Source organism: Homo sapiens, chromosome 15 (assembly GCF_000001405.40).
Source record: "Homo sapiens chromosome 15, GRCh38.p14 Primary Assembly".
NCBI classification, from domain to species: Eukaryota; Metazoa; Chordata; class Mammalia; order Primates; family Hominidae; genus Homo; species Homo sapiens.
In genome coordinates, this window is record NC_000015.10 from 83591299 (window position 1) to 83608640 (window position 17342).

At 38.8% G+C, this 17342-nt stretch overlaps 1 protein-coding gene across 21 annotated transcripts in view, besides 1 other annotated feature; it reads left to right on the plus strand.

Moving 5' to 3' along the window:
• The window catches only part of SH3GL3 (SH3 domain containing GRB2 like 3, endophilin A3), a 186480-nt gene that overhangs the window by 143958 nt on the left and 25180 nt on the right, over positions 1-17342 (plus strand). The window lies entirely within an intron of this gene.
• Positions 3374-3543: an enhancer, noted in NCBI's record as "experimental_41536 CRE fragment used in MPRA reporter constructs". NCBI's record gives its function as "activates a minimal promoter by MPRAs in K562 erythroleukemia cells, with activity observed for both the introgressed and non-introgressed 15:84263509 variant alleles {active_cell/tissue: K562}" and the evidence as "EXISTENCE:reporter gene assay evidence [ECO:0000049][PMID:34662402]".

The following is a 17342-nucleotide window of genomic DNA, read 5'->3' on the forward strand; positions in this document are numbered from 1 at the left end:
ATACCCGGCCTCTCCTATGTTTTTTCTTAAGTCCACTTTGTGTTAATTTTGTATAAATGTGAGACTTAAGTCATTTATTTTGCCTATGGATGTCCAATTGCCCTTTCAAACACACATTGCTCATATAAGCTGCACAGTGTGAATTTTCTTCCAACCTTATGGCTATCCTTAAAGGTTTTTTTTTTTCATTTAAAAACAAAAATTATCAGAGTAATATGTGTATGTAGTTTAAAAAGAAAATGGTAATATACGTATGTGGTTTTAAAAAGGCAAATGTAGTTACCTCTACCTCTGTGTGAAAACATGGGCAGGCCCCATGAATTTTCTCATTATTAAAACTACAAATTATCAGAGTATATGTGTATACATTTTTTTATTTTTTATTTTATTTATTTTTATTTTTTTGAGACAAAGTCTTGCTCTGTCACCCAGGCTGGAGTGCAGTGGCGCCATCTCGGCTCACTGCAAGCTCCGCCTCCTGGGTTCAGGCCATTCTCCTGCCTCGGCCCCCCGAGTAGCTGAGACTACAGGCGCCCGATACCGTGCCTGGCTAATTTTTTGTATTTTTAATAGGGACGGGGTTTCACTGCGGTGTTGATCTCCTGACCTTGTGATCCGCCCGCCTTGGCCTCCCAAAGTGCTGGGATTACAGCTGTGAGCCACCAGGCCGGGCCATGTGTATACATTTTTAAAAAAAACATGGTGCAAGCTTTTTCGTGAGAAATGGCAGTTTCCCCATCAACTCCTTTCCCAGTGCTTATTTTCTGCTCTCAGAGGAAACACTTTCAACTCTTTTACATATTTATTTGGTACTTAACTTCATGGTGCTTGTTTTTTACTATTTCTTTTTTTACTCTGATTCTTCAGTTTGGATAAATGTATTGATTTCCTGATATGGAAGATAATGGCTTAGCTTCCTAACCCTTGGTCTTCCATAGACTTCTCCCTCCCTTCACCCTTCCAATTTACTTATAATCACTATTTTTGTTAAATAAATATTCATTGTGTAATCATCACTTCCATCATGTGGGACTCTTAAAATGCACTCCTCCCCTTTTTTCCCTGCTCTTATTTTAAATTGCCTACTCACGGATGAAAATGTGAGCAGGCTGCATGACTTTTCTGACTACTCTTGGGTCACATAAGTTCTCCAGTCACTTGAATGTGTAAGTGCAGGCTCGTGCAGTAGTCAAAATGCTAAGACCCATGTCATGGTCAAAGCTATAATCTTGATTTAAAGTTTGGCTTTCACTCCTCCCCAAGCTCTGGCCTGTTGCCGTGGGAACATTGGTGTCAGGGAAGAGGTTGTATTTGGCTTTTTCTCTTTCCCCATCTACCCCTTCTGTTCTTAAGTCCCCAGAGAATGTATTTTAAGCTCGCTGAGGAATCTTTTAAAAGTTCTTCTCTCTTGATTTGGTGTGAAATGAAAAGATCACAACACATCCTGCCTCCTCCACACTCTCTCCAACATTTTTCTAAAAATCCTTTTTAATCTCCATCTTCTGACCTATTTATGCCATAGATGTAGGCTGGGATTAAAAGTTATAAAACTGGCTACCCTCATCTCTTCTGTTTTTGTTTGTTTCCAAATCCTGCATAAGTTGTCTTCTGCACATCGGTTTAATAAAAAAGAACAAACAAAAAAAAAACAGTTCTGGGGCCTCATCCAAAACTTCCATTTTTACATCGCCTAACACTTATTTACAATGTCATGAGCACAGAAATAATATTCACAGCAGTATCACATAGTGCACTATCATTGCATTTCTATTCTTGTACAATTGTTGTCTTGATGACTGTAGCTTTATAAGTTTTGAGGTCAGGCCCTGTTAGTCCTCTAACTTTGGTCTTCATTTTAAAAGTTGTTTGACTATTCTAGTTACTTTGCATTTTCATGTGAGTTTTAGAGATCAAATTTTCAATGTTTCAAAAAAATCCTGCTCAGATTTTTATTTGGATTGGGTTGAATCTATAACTCAATTTAAGAGGAATTGATAGCTTAACAATATTGAGTGTTCCAGGCTTGAACACAATCTATTGTATTTCCCATTTATTTAGGTCTTCTTGAATTTCTCTCAGCAGTGTTTCACTATTTTTAGAATATATACAGGTCTTTTAAATTTTTTCATCAATCTCTAAGTATTTTATATCTTTATGCAATTGCAAACAGCATTTTAATAAAATTTCCATTTCTGAATTTTTGTTTCTAGCATTCATAATATTCCATTGATTTTTGTATATTGATCTTGTATCCTGCCATGTTGCTAAATTTACATCTTAGGTCTAGTAGTTTTTTAATAGATTCCATAGTTTTTCTACATAGATGTTCACGTCATCTATAAATGAAGACAGTTTTACTCAATATCTGCATGCCTTTGTTTTTCTTGCCTTTTTTCACTTGCTAGAACATGCTGAGTACAAAGGGTTAGAGTGGACATCCTTGCTTTGTCTCTGATTTTAGGGGAGAAGCATTCAATACTTCATAATTAAGGATGATTTTAGCTGTAGATTTTTCATAGATTTTTTTTTTTTCTTTTTGAGACAGGGTCTTGCCCTGTTGCCCAGGCTGGAGTGCAGTGGCGCAGTCGCAGCTTGTTGCAACCTCAACCTGCCAGGCTCAAAAGATCCTCCCACGTTAGCCTCCCACATAGCTGGGACTATAGGCACACACCACCAAGCCTGGCTAATTTTTGTATCTTTCGTAGAGATGAGGATTCACCCTGTTGCCTAAGCTGGTCATGAACTTCTGGGCTCAAGCTATTCGCCTGCTTCGGCCTTCCAAAGTGTTGGGATTACAGGCATGAGCCACTAGGCCTGGCCTTCATAGATTTTAAAAATCAGATTGAGAGAGTTCCCTTCTAGTCATAAATAGTTTGAAGAGAGTTTTAATGAGAAACAGTCTTTGAATTTTGTCAGATGCCTTTTTTTGGTATCTGTTGAGATGATCGTTTATTTTTTAGTTTTAGTTTGTTAATATGGTGAATTACATTGTTAGTTAAATCAACCTTGCATCCCTAGGATAAACTCTTTGTGGGAAAGTTTTTTTAAATTAATTTTAAATTTTAGAATAGTTTTAGACTTACAGAAAAGTTGTGACGATAGCACAGGGCATTCCCATATACTCCTCCACTCTTCTATATTAACATTTTATTAGTATGGCACATTTACTTTATATAATGAACATATATTTATATTAGCTAAAGTCCACACTTCATTCACATTTCCTTAGTTTTTACCTGCTGTTCTTTTTCTGTTCTAGGATCCTATCCAGAATAGCACGTTGCATTTAGTCCTCACATCTCCTTCGGCCTCTCTTGCTGTGGCAGCTTCTAAGACTTTCTTTGTTTTTAATGAACTTGACAGTTTTGGGGAGTACTGTTTACATATTTTGTAGAATGTCCCCCAGTTGAGATTTGTCTGATGTCTTTACATGGTTAGACTGGAGTTATGAGTTTCTGGGAAGAAGATCACAGAGGTAAAGTGCCATTCTCATCCCATCACCTACCATCTCACATCAGTCAGAATGGCTGGTATTAAAAAGTCAAAAAATCATAGATGGCTGGCAAGGCTGCAGAGTAATGAGACAGCTTATACACTGCTGGTGGCAATGTAGATTAGTTCAGCCACTGTGGAAGGAAGTTTGGCAATTTCTCAGACAACTTAAAGCAGAACTATCATTTGACCCAGCATTCCCGTTACCGCATATATACCCAAAGGAATATAAATCATTCTACCATAAAGACACATACACGTGTATGTTCATCGCAGCACTATTCACAATAGCAAAGGCGTGGAATCAAACTAAATGCCCATCGGTGGCAGACTGGATAAAGAAAACGTACTACATATATTCCATGGGACAGTACACGGCCATAAAAAAGAATGAGATCATGTCCTTTGCAGCAACATGGGTGGAGCTGGAGACCATGATCCTAAGTGAACTAACTCAGGAACAGAAAACCAAATACTGCATGTTCTCACTTGTAAGTGGGAGCTAAACATTGAGTACACATGGACACAAAGAAGGGAATAATAGCCAGTGGGGCCTGCTTGAGGGTGGAGGTTGGGAGGAGGGTGAGAATTGAAAAACTACCTACCCTGTACTATGCTTGATCACCTGAGTGACGAAATAATCTGCACACCAAATCCCTGTGATACACTGTTTACTCATATAAAAAACCTGTGCATGTACCCCTGAACCTAAAAGTTAAAAAAAAAAAAAAAGAATATGCCCTATCAACAAGATTAATCACTGCTGATATTGATCTTGGTCTGCTGGCTGAGGCAGTATTTGTCAGCTCTCTGTAAAGTTACTCCTTGTTTTTTTTTTTTTTTCCTGCATGAAGGCTTTAAGCTATAAATTCAACGTCTTTATAGATAGAAGGCAATTGAGGTTATCTGTTTCTTCCTGAGTGAACTTTAGAAGTTGGTGTCTTTCAAGGAATTTATCCCTTTCATCTAAGTTGTCAAATTTATTGCATAAAGTTGTTCATAATATTCTGTTATTATCCTTTTAAGATATATAGAATTTGTAGTGATTTACTTCTCTCAATCATTTTAGAAATTGGTAATTTTTGTCTTTTTCTTTTCTTAATCATTTTAGCTATAGATTTATCAATTTTATTGATCTTAAAGAGCCAGCTCTCTGTCTCATTGAGTTTTCTCTGTTGTCATTGAGTCCTTTCGCCTTTTCCGATATATGTGTTTAGCGCTATCAATTTCCCCCTAAGTACCACTTGAGCACCATCTCATGCATTTTGATGTGTTGAGTTTTCCCTTTCATCCTCTTTAAAATTGTTTCTAATTTTACTTTTGATAACCTCTTTAACTCTTGGTTTCTTCTGAAATGTGTTATATCATTTCCACATATGTGGATATTTTTCAGATCTCTTTCTGTTTTAGATACCTATTTAATTCCATTTTTTATCAAATAAGATACTTTGTATGAATCATACCCTTTTAAATTTTTTGAAGCTTGCTTGATGGGCCAGAATATGATCCATCTTGGTAAATGATCTGTGTACACTTGAAAAGAATGTGTATTCTATTCTTATTGGGTAGGGTGCTTTATAAATGTCAATTAGGTCAAATTATTTAATAGAGTTCTTCAAGTCTTCCATATTCTTGCTGATTTTTTGGTCTATGTTTTCCTATTAATTTTGTGGCAGAGGGTATTAAAATCTCTGATTATAGTTATGGATTTGTCTATTTCTCCTGGCAATTGTATCCAGAAGTATGGGAAGTTGGCTACATTCCCTTCCGTATTCCTCATTCGCATTGACCCTTTTAGTCTGATTACTTGCATTTTTTAAAACACGGAAAGTGTGTTTTTGTTTGTTTGTTTGTTTGTTTTAAGATACGGGGTTTTGCCATGTTGCTCAGGCTGGTCTCCAACTCCTGGGCTCAACATTCCTTCCACCTCGGCCTCCAAAGTGCTAGGATTATAGGCGTGAGCCACTGCACCCCCACTGATTTATTTATTTATTTTTTTTACTATCTTAAATATCCTTCTCCTCTATTCCCTTTCTTTTTGCCCTTGTAAACAACTACTAGAGGTTGAAACTTTTTGTCCTTCCTCGGACAAAAAGTCTTTTCCTCCTTGCTCTCTGTACCTCTGTTTTTTTATTCTGCCCTCTGAGGACATTTCACCTTCTTACTTTATTCTTTGATCCAGTTATTTATTTAGCATATCTATTGAATTTCTTACTCCAATTGTATTAGTTCTCTATTGATGCTGCAATGAAATACCACAAACTGTGTGGTCTAAAATAACACAATGTATGATCTATTTTATAGTTCTGGAGGTCAGAAGTCCTCAAATCAAGGTGTTCACATTCCACACAGGGTGGAATCTGTTTTCTTGCCTCTCCTGCCTTCTAGAGGCTGCCTGCAGTCCTTGCCTCATTGCCCCTTGCTCCAGCTTCCCAGCTGGTGGCATGACATCTTCAGATCTCCCTGCCTCCATTGTCAGATCTCCTTCTCTGACTTGGATTCTCCTGCTTCCGCCTTATAAGGACCCTTGTGATTATACTGAGCCTACCCACATAAACCCAGGGTAACCTCCCCATCTCAAAATCTGTAACTTAATCACATCGTCACATTCCCTTTCGCTGTGTAAGGTAACATAGCTATAGGTTCTGGGGATTAGGAAGTGGACATCTTTGAGGCTATTGCTCTGCCTACCATGATAGTGTTCAAATTTACATTTTTAAAAAATTTTACAAGTAACTAGACCTTTCATATTCCTCTGAGAATATTAATTATACTTTTTATTTTTATATTTATTTAGTTTTATTTTATTTTATTATAATTATTATTATTTTTTTTTGAGATGGAGTTTCGCTCTTGTCACCCAGGCTGGAGTGCAATGGTACGATCTCGGCTCACTGCAACCTCCGCCTCCCAGGTTCAAGCGATTCTCCTGCCTCAGCCTTCCGAGTACTTGGGATTACAGGTGCCTGCCACCGTACCTGGCTAATTTTTGTATTTTTAGTAGAGACGGGGTTTCACCATGTTGGCCAGGCTGGTTGCGAACTCCTGACCTCGTGATCTGCCCAACTCGGCCTCCCGAAGTGCTGGGATTATAGGCGTGAGCCACCACGCCTGGCCCTTAATTATGCTTTTTAAAAAGTCTCCACTTAATTCTTATCTCCTTGAGTGTTTGTTGGGATCTGGAGTCTACTTTATGAAGTTGTTTCTCATACATTGATGATTCTTGGCTCTGTGCACAACTTTTTATTTGAGAGTGCTTATGAGGTTGCCTCCTGTGGTTAAGGGGAAATAAGGGATGTTCTGTTGAGTGCAGTGGACTGGTTTCTGTTTTTCTGATTGTTTCTATCATCCATGGCACTGCCCTGACTTTCTGTTTCAGATGCCCACACTCACTCAGTACCCCTTCCTGAAGGCAGTTGCCAGGGCTCCTGGCACTGGTACAAACCCAGGATGAGTGGACTCACCTGGCTGCTCTTTTCTCAGAAAGCCAGCCAGCTTTCAGGATCCACTTACACTGAGTTTTGAGCGCCCTTAGACTTCACTGTCACAGCATTCCGCTTTGGGAGCCATTTTGAACCTCATTTCCTCCATCTGCTGCTTTCCATCTTCCAGGCATTCTTGTATTCCTCATAATTTCTGGTCTACCAGCAGTATTTAGTCTCATTTTCCAACATTATTTGCAACCTTAAAAAGTCCTATTTTGTAAGTGATAGGGATTTGGTACATGAAAGGAAGGCTGCAGTCCTGTACTTCATTGTGCCATATTAATGGAAATTTCCCTTAAGACATTCAATGCCACTTATCTCACTGGTTGCATCTTTGCTTCTCCCCAGGATGGCTTTAGGTGCTGAATGGATAGAGACAAAGAATCTTGACTCATATGATGAGAAAATATTCTTTTTTTCAATTCTCTTATATTCATTCCAATTTCAAGGAGATAAGCTACAGTTTTGTGCTGGAGTATTTTTAATGTTCAATTTTAACAGAGAGGAGAGGCCTCCGGTTAAAAGTCATTTACAGACTACAGAATGTATCTTTTGGATGTAATAAAATTGTCTATTTTCCATTGTAATTATTTTCATGCTTACAGTCTCTATAGCATGTGGTACTAGTTTTCAGTTTACATTTTTTGATGTAATGTTTCAGTGAAAGTTATTTGAATAAAATTGATTTTATAAAAAACGTATCAAGAGGATACTTAGGTACAATTCTCTGAAGACTATTTTTTGTTGTTTGTTTTTAAAGATTTTGATGAAGCAGATATATTTTCAAGGTAGAATTCATTGGTGCCAATTTTCTATCTCTTCTTATTTACTTATTTTTTTGCGCTTTATATTTCTGTAGTTGGGGGAGAATTTCAACTTCCCATGTGAAGCACTCCCCCTTTCCTTTCTTTATTTTTTTGGTATTCTAATTTTTTTCCTTAGGTTTTTGAGGAACAGGTGGTATTTGGTTACATAAGTAAGCTGTTTAGTGGTGATATTTGTGAGATTTCAGTGCACCCATCAGCCGAGCAGTGTACACTGAACCCAATTTGTAGCCTTTTATCCCTTACCCCTTCCACCCTTTCTCTCAAGTCCCCAAAGTCCATTGTATCATTCTTATGTCTTTGCATCCTCATAGCTTAGCTCCCACTTATGGGTGAGAACACATGATGTTTGGTTTTCCATTCCTGAGTTTCTTCACTTAGAATAATAGTCTCCAATTCCACCCAGGTTGCTGCAGATGCCATTAGTTCATTTCTTTTTATGGTTGAGTAGTATTCTACCACATATATATACCACAGTTTTTTTATCCACTCATTGATGGGCATTTGGGCTGGTCCCATATTTTTGCAATTGCAAATTTTGCTGCTATAAACATGCGTGTGCAAGTATCTTTTTTGTATAATGACTTCTTTTTCCTCTGGGTAGATACCCAGTAGTGGGATTGCTGGATCAATGGTAGTTCCACTTTTAGTTCTTTAAGGAATCTCCACACAGTTTTCCATAGTGGTTGTACTAGTTTACATTCTTACCAGCAGTGTAGAAATGTTCCCTTTTCACCCATCCACGCCAACATCTATTTTTTTTAATATTTTGATTATTGCCATTCTTGCAGGGGTAAGTTGATATCGCATTGTGGTTTTGATTTGCATTTCCCGGATCATTAGTGATGTTGAGCATTTTTTTCATGTTTGTTGGCCATTTGTATATCTTCTTTTGAGAATTGTCTATTCATGTCGTTAGCCCACTTTTAGATGGGATTGTTTGTTTTTTTTCTTGCTAAGTTGTTTGAGTTCCTTGTAGATTCTGGATATTAGTCCTTTGTCAGATGTATAGATTGTGAAGATTTTCTCCCACTCTGTGGGTTGTCTGTACACTCTGACTGTTCCTTTTGCTCTGCAAAAGCTCTTTAGTTTAATTAAGTCCCAGCTATTTATCTTTATTTTTGTTCCATTTGCTTTTGGGTTCTTGGTCATGAAGTCTTTGCCTAAGCCAATGTCTAGAAGAGTTTTTCCAATGTTATCTTCTAGAATTTTTATAGTTTCAGGTCTTAGATTTAAGTCCTTGATCCACGTTGAGTTGATTTTTGTATAAGGTGAGAGATGAGGATCCAGTTTCATTCTCCTACACATAGCTTGCCAATTATCCCAACACCATTTGTTGAATAGGGTGTCCTTTCCCCACTTTATGCTTTCGTTTGCTTTGTCGAAGATCAGTTGGCTGTACGTATTTGGCTTTATTTCTGGGTTCTCTGTTCTGTTCCATTGGTCTATGTGCCTATTTTTATAACAGTACCATGCTGTTTTGGTGACTGTGGCCTTATAGTATAGTTTGAAATCAGGTAATGTGATGCCTCCAGATTTGTTCTTTTTGGTTAGTTTTGCTTTGGCTATGTGGGCTCTTTTTTGGTTTCATATGAATTTTAGGATTGTTTTTTCTAGTTTTGTGAAGAATGATGGTGGTATTTTGATGATGGGAATTGCACTGAATTTGTAGACTGCTTTTGGCAGTATGGTTATCTTCACAATATTGATTCTGCCCATCCAAGAGCATGGGATGTGTTTCCATTTGTTTGTGACATCTGTGATTTCTTTCAGCAGTATTTTGTAGTTTTCCTTGTAGAGGTCTTTTACCTTTTTGGTTAGGTATATTTCTAAGTTTTTGTTTTGCAGCTATTATAAAAGGGGTTGAGTTCTTGATTTGATTCTCAGCTTGGTCTCTGTTGGTATATAGCAGAGCTACTGATTTATGTACATTAATTTTGTATCCTGAAACTTTGCTGAATTCATTTATCAGTTCTAGGAGCTTTTTGGAGGAGTCTTTAGGGTTCTAGGGTTTTCTAGGTATACAATTATATCATCAGCAAACAGTGACAGTTTGACTTCCTCTATACCGATTTGGATGCCCTTTATTTCTTTCTCTTGTCTGATTGCTTTGGCTAGAACTTCCAGTACTATATTGAATAGAAGTGGTGAGAGTGGGCATCCTTGTCTTGTTCCAGTTCTCAGCGGAAATGCTTTCAACTTTTGTCGATTCAGTATTATGTTGGCTGTGGGTTTTTCATAGATGGTTTTTATTACATTGAGGTATGTCCCTTGTATGCCGATTTTGCTGAGGGTTTTAATCACGAAGGGATGCTGGATTCTGCAAATGCTTTTTCTGTGTCTATTGAGATGATCGTGTAATTTTTGTTTTTAATTCTGTTTATGTGGTGTATCACATATATTGACTTGCGTATGTTAAACCATCCCTGCATCCCTGGTATAAAACCCACTTGATTGTGGTGGATTATCTTTTTGATATGCTATTGGATTCATTTAGCTAGTATATTGTCAAGGATTTTTGCATCTATGTTCATCAGGGATATTGGTCTGTAGTTTTCTTTTTTTTCTATGTCCCTTCCTGGTTTTGGTATTAAGGTGATACTGACTTCATAGAATGATTTAGGGAGGATTCCCTCTTTCTGTATCTTGTAGAATAGTGTCAATAGGATTGGTACCGATTCTTCTTTGAATGTCTGATAGAATTCAGCTGTGAATCCATGTGGTCCTGGACTTTTTTTTTTTTGGTAATTTTAAAATTACCATTTCAGTCTTGCTGCTTGTTATTGGTCTGTTCAGGGTTTCTCTGAAGACTTTTTATATTGTATTATGCTAACACTAGTTTGTGTCTCAAAAAAAAAAAAAACAAAACATAAAACCGAAATGCAGTAAAATAGGATTTCCTCACTCCTGCCACAGTCCAGGGAGAATATTCCAAGAAGATAGGTGGTTCTAATGCATAGAGTCTCTCAGGGGTCTAGGCTGATGGCAGCTCTGCCATCTTCATCATATGGCTTCCTAGTTGTTGCCACTCCAGCCAGCAGGAAGGGGAGAAAGAACAAACATTTAGGTTAGATATTTCCTCTTACACCCGCAAGGTGGAAATGACACACACATTCCAGGGATGAGCGCTCAAACAGCCACACCTAGTAGCAAAGCAACTTGGGAAGTACAACCTCTAGCTAGGCAGCTGCTATCCAGTTGTAATGGCATCTTAGTTTGTTTGGGCTGCTGTAACAAAATACCTTAGACTGGGTAGCTTTTACTTACAGTCTGGAGGCTGAGATGTCTAAAATCAAGGTGCCAGCAGAACTGGTGCCTGGTAGAGGCCATTCCTCATAGATGACACCTTCTAGCTGTGTCCTCACATGGCAGAAGGGGCAAACAAGCTCCCACAGGTCCCTTTTATAAGGGCACAAATCCTACTCATGACCTAATTACCCCCAAGTCACTAATTCTCATGACCTAATCACCTCCTAAAGGTCCCAGCCCTTAATACTATTGCATTGGAGATTAAGTTTCAACAGATGAGTTTTGGGGGAACACACACATTCAGGCCATAGCAAATAGGAAATACACTGCATGTACCAGTCCATAACAATGATGGACTCCTGCTGGGCAGAAATTTCAAGGACCCCCTACCCTGGCAGTGAAGAAAGTGTCTTGATTAGACCCTGGTTCTGCTCTCTGGATTTTGGATCAGGGAGACTCTTTTGTCTTTTATTCTGTGGGCTCCTAGATTTGCTCTCTGAGAAATGTGTCTTCCAAGACCACATTGTAAGTGGGCTTTGGAGGGCTACCTTCTTTGACATCTGTACTTATTGCTGCTCAGGGACCTTGTGGGTTCCTTACAGTTTAGTAGACACAGATGTCTTCAGGCTAGGCTTATGCTTCTTTTCACAACTTGATTTCCTTTTTTTTTTGAGATAGTCTTGCCCTGTTGCCCAGGCTGGAGTGCAGTGGTGGGATCTCGGCCCACTGCAACCTCCGCTTCCCAGGTTCAAGCAATTCTTGTGCCTCACTCTCCTAAGTAGCTGAGATTATAGGCATGCACCACCACGCCTGGCCAATTTTTGTATTTTTAGTAGAGATGGGGCTTCACCATGTTGGCCAGGCTGGTCTTGAACTCCTGACCTTGAGTGATCCACCTGCCTCAGCCTCCCAAACTGCTGTCACCACACTGGCCACAACTTGATTTCTTAAAAAACGTAATGAGCTTCTGATCTATATACCTCCAGGCAGTTCCATGTGCCTGTAAACACATTCAAAGTTCTTTCTTAGATATAGCTCTTAAGACTTTCATTTCTTTCCTTCCTTGTCTTACCCATGCTTCGCTTTCTTAACTTACAGAGGCTACCTTGAGACCACCTGAAACAGCAGATTTGAGTAGGAAGGTGACACCTTTCGTTGCGTCTTTGCCACACAGCTGAGTTCCTTTAGTTTAGGGAGGTCTCTGAGAATGATTTGGAAGAGCAATCTGCTTATCTTGTTTTCTTTGGGGTACAGAAACAGTTTGCTTTTCCAATGCATTAGGAACCAACCTCTGCTCTTTCTTTTATCTTTGCTTGTAGACTGGGCAACTTTTGTCTTTCTTATAGTAACTTGCTACACACACCAAGGTTTAGCTAACATCCAACCTTCTGGCTTTATTCACCTTCTTTCTTTAGAGCTACTGGTATATGGTCTGCTTTAAGAGTTATTATAGGCAAAAAGTTTTTCAAATGTTTTGCCATAATCTAACAGGTCACTGGGTTTCAGCCCGGTGCGGTGGCTTACGCCTGTAATCCCAGCACTTTGGGAGGCCGAGGCGGGTGGATCACCTGAGTTCAGGAGTTTGAGACCAGCCTGACCAACATGGAGAAACCCCATCTCTACTAAAAATACAAAATTAGCTGGGCATGGTGGCGCATGCCTGTAATCCTAGCTACTTGGGAGGCTGAGGCAGGAGAATCCCTTGAAACCCGGGAGGCAGAGGTTGCGGTGAGGTTGTGGTGAGCCGAGATCGCACCATTGCACTCCAGGCTGGGCAACAAGAGTGAAACTCTGTCTAAAAAGAAAAAAAAAAAGAAGCTAGGTATAAGCAAATTAACTAAAAATTTTGACAGTGAGTTCAACCTCAGCCTCCCTCCTTCAATGCCAGTATATTATATTTGAGGAAATGAGAACCCAGGACCCCAGGGCTCAGTCCTTGCCCCACTGTCTCTATCTTTCCAGCTTGCACCCGAGTAGTTCTTAGAGACAGGACCTCAGGTCAAGCTCCCAAGACACCATTCTCTCATTTGCCACCAAAGAGAACTCAACTTTCCTTTGATTTGAGCTCACAGACTGGCAGTGTAGAGAGTGTTAAGCCTTATAAAAATGAAAAGGTATTTGAATTAAAGTATCCCTTAAGGTCATAGGGACCTAGCCTTTGAGGGCCAACAGTATGCCAGGAGTTATTATTTGGTGCTTTGTAGACATAGACATAACTCATTTCATCCTCATAACCGTACTCCAAGGAAGTGATAATAAAAAAAAGTAACACATAATAAGATAATGACAATAGCAACTACACTTATTGGCTACTTACTATGGGTTAGATATTGTATAAATACTTTGTATACATCTCTAGTACTATTTTTAGTCCCCATTTTACAGATGAGTAAGTAGAGGCTCTGAGAGGTTAAGTGAGATCTTCTCAAGATCACAGAGCCAGGAAGTAGCAGAGCTGGGTACTTTACCTTATAGATATTTCATGTTATATCATTAAGAAGGAATACTAGGGGAATGTTATGAAATGGCCAAGAGCATTGGGAATGATTTATTTCCAAGATTCATGATTACAGGGAATCTGTGGTCAGCAGGTGGTTGCACAGGGAGCCCACTAAATGCATCTGACTTGGAAGGGAAAAACAGAGGACAGTGAGGTCTTTGGCTTCCTCATTGAGGCCACGCATGTCAGTGCTTTGTCCCCTCTTTCTTGGCCAGTAGCTGGGTCCCTAGACAGATTAAGTTCCTAGAAGGGCGATGTACAGAGATCACAGACGTGCAGAAGCTGGCTTTTAAGAAGGCTCAGTGTCCCATATTCTCCACTGCAGCAAACTCTACTGTGTGCCACTGTGTGTCTTTTGCCTGTGCCTGTCCCAGGCTGCTTCTTCTAAGTTTCCCTCGGTAGTAGCTTCAAGTTCCCGTCTCACACACCCAGCATTGGGCTTCCTTGATTTGTGGGTGGAATTTGCCAGTGTAAAGGGGGTCCTGTACTGTTTGTTTCTGAGGCACAGTTTCAAAAGAAAATGACATTTATAGCCTGCATTAATGGGAAATTACTTTCCATTAGGATTCTGAATGATTTGCACATAATGTTTATAAAGTGAAGGAAAAATGTCAAGCATTTCACTAACAAATGAAAGCAAAGCTCATGAGACTCTGCCAGAAATGAATTCCAAGAACATTTTCTTCATCATTTCTTCTTTCTAAAGAAAAAAAGAGAGAGATGAAAGAACATAAGTCAATTAAGCAGAATGCATCGTGGGACTGAGATGGAATCTTTGATAATATCATTGCTAGGTAGTTAAGAGAATGAATAAAGTGAGCCAAAATGGAGAAAGGGGAGAATCACATCTTGAAATGACAGATTGCAGACAAAATCCAACTCTAGGTCCTGGCTGGGAGAAACGAGTGCCTGTCCAAGCCCGCGAGTGTGGGGTCATGCTGTTTCATCAGTGTAAGCTGCCCCTCTGTCCCCAAAGAGAAAAGGAGGCCAGGAAACATCCTTGAGTTGAAACATGTGCCTGTGTAGCTCCCAGAAAACCACTGATGTTGAAGAAAATAGTGTAGGAATTTGTGACCCATGCTCAAGTATCTTCCCCACTTGTGGGGAATTTGTATCAGGTCCCAGGTTGTCACCTCCTGAATTATATATTTAAAGACTAGAGGACAAAGTGTATTTTATCAACTCATTTTTTATGAAGTTTTTTTTTTTCTTGCTGAAACTCTTAAAAGGGGTACCACTTTGTGTAATCACAACTAAGGGTTAATATGCCCCAAACTGGGACCTGCTTTAAACATATAGGAGGCTGAAATTAGTTAACAAATATGTATTCCAAATGTGTGCTACAGGCACATCAGAGTGAGTTGAAATAAATCTCCCAAATGGCTTGTATTAAGACCTTCTAATTCTCTAGGTATAAAAGAGACTTTTATAAATTTCTTCACACTTCTAAGGCAGCTTGGAAATAATTTCTAGAGCCTAAATCCTTCCCCTCATTGGCACAAAATGTCTAGGATTACATTAGAAAATAAACATTTATTCAAAAGTGAAATGTGAAGTTTGAAAATTAAAGATGAACACTTTGCAAATAGAAATATATGCAATTTTTTTAACCTACATTTCCGAAGAGGAAATTAAAATTTCACAGAACAGTGACAATGGTGATTGTTCGGTCAGCAGGTTGTTTCTTACATTTCTCTTCTTTCCTTCCTCCTCTTTTCTTCTATTCCCCTTCTCCACTAATAGCCTTCCCCCCAGATCCATTTCTATATATTATAAGTAGTGCTTCAGAGTCAGAGTTATTGACAAGAGAGAAATAAATAAGGAAACAAGAGTCCCATGTTATAGTTCAGATTCTGGAACTTCTTAGTTGTATGAGTTGGGGTGAGTTTCTTAGCACCTCTAGACCGATTTGAACTTGTTCCTAGAGGAAGTGATTGGACTTAATACATTCCAAGGTACTTTCTAGCTCTAAATTCTGTGGCTGTAGTAGTTGTCTTTTGTGAGTACTTAGCATTCTTAATAATTTGAAATGTGGACAGGTTGAACATTTAAATATTTTCTATATTTTAAAAAATGTTTTAAAAATTAAAGTGTGAAATATGATTATTATTGTTGATCAGTAGCCATTGGTGCGGTGAACAGGAAGAGTCTCTCTCTTATTTTCCAATTTGAAGGAAGATTTAGAGAGGGAAGTTTTCCTCACTGCAGGGAATGGTTTTCTGTAATTATTCTGAACAGTCTGTAAAAAGAGTTTTGAAAAGCCGTAAGACATAAATTCTAACTTAGTTGTGGGAATTTTGACTTTGCTGAAATGATCTCAAGTGCTGCATATTTTCAAATCTTAACATATACTCTATAATGATACATTTGATCCATAAGCTAAAATGTAAAATACCATCATCTAAATATTAATTTATGTACTTGTTTTAAAAAATACGGTAGAAGTCAGTTGTTTCCTGGGATTACAAACCAGGCAACAGTGATGTTGCACCATCCAGAGGACTCTGAGTCCATATGAATGACAGCCCCTAGAGTTGTCCAGTGGATGTGGCTGCAAGTGCAAACTTGAATGCCAGATTTTAGGAATGAGAGACATAGGAAAAGTGTAAGAAAATAGTGCAAGGCTGGTGATAAATGGCTGACTCTAAGCTTCCAAGTCAGGATCATGACAGAGGGAGGTGTGTCTTCAACAACTAGAAAACACTTGTTCTTTCTGAAGGGGGTGGCCGATAGTCTACGGCAAGCGCCCCTTGCCTGAGAATGTGAGCCCATCATAGCTAGCCTTTCTGATTTTTCAAGAGAAGCCAGAAACCCTATGTTTATGTGACATCTCCTGACTTTTAGATGTTGGCAACTAATCCACATTGTAAAAAAGCAAGGAGCAGGCCAGACGAGGTATCATCTGCAAGCTGATCACTATGCCAATGGCCAGAAAGCCAACTCTAATTAAGGCAGCTGTTTGCATTTCCATTTTCCAGAACTCAGAGTGGCAAATAATAATAATAATAATAATAATAATAATAATAATAATACAAACAACAACAACAAAAAAAACAACCCACACACATTGGACCTGGTTGCAATAGAGGGGTCACCTGCCAGAAAGTTTATTTTGATAAATAAATGGCCCGCAGGTTTTGAGGTATCTGCAAAAGTCATCACAATAGACAAGTCATTGTTTTGTAAGGTGGGGGAGGGCAAAACTTTATTAGTTAAACCCATCTAATATAACCCGAGTAAATTGAGGAAGATTGGCATTAAGGTTAACATAAATCACACATGCTTATTTTTACAGATTTCAATGATTAAGCTTGAGTTCCATTGACAAGTAATTTCAATAAATCACATCTCCTGTGGATAAATACAGGGCTGTTATTTCTAGAAAGACAGCAGTTCATTGACTTTTACTAGATTTTACTTAGTAGTGCACAACTTAACCCTCATAGACCAACACTTCAAATTTCCAGATAAGGAAATCAGGACCCAAAGATGACCTAATCCATAGCAAAGATGCAGGGATCTGAAGCTTCTGTCCAGTGCGCTCTTACCCATGGACAAAAACAATATGTTAGAGATGTTGAACTAGATAGTGTCTGTGGTATCTATCAGCATTAGACACCAGTGTTGTATCTGGGTCAGATAGAGAGAAAGTATGTGCTTCAAATGAATTCTGCTATAAGAATTTGAGATTATAAATGGGAAAAAAGAAACTTTTGAAGGGAGTTTAAACCAGATATGCTTGTTTGAACTCAGAGGAGATGGTATCTCACAGATTGAGCACGGTGCCTGGCT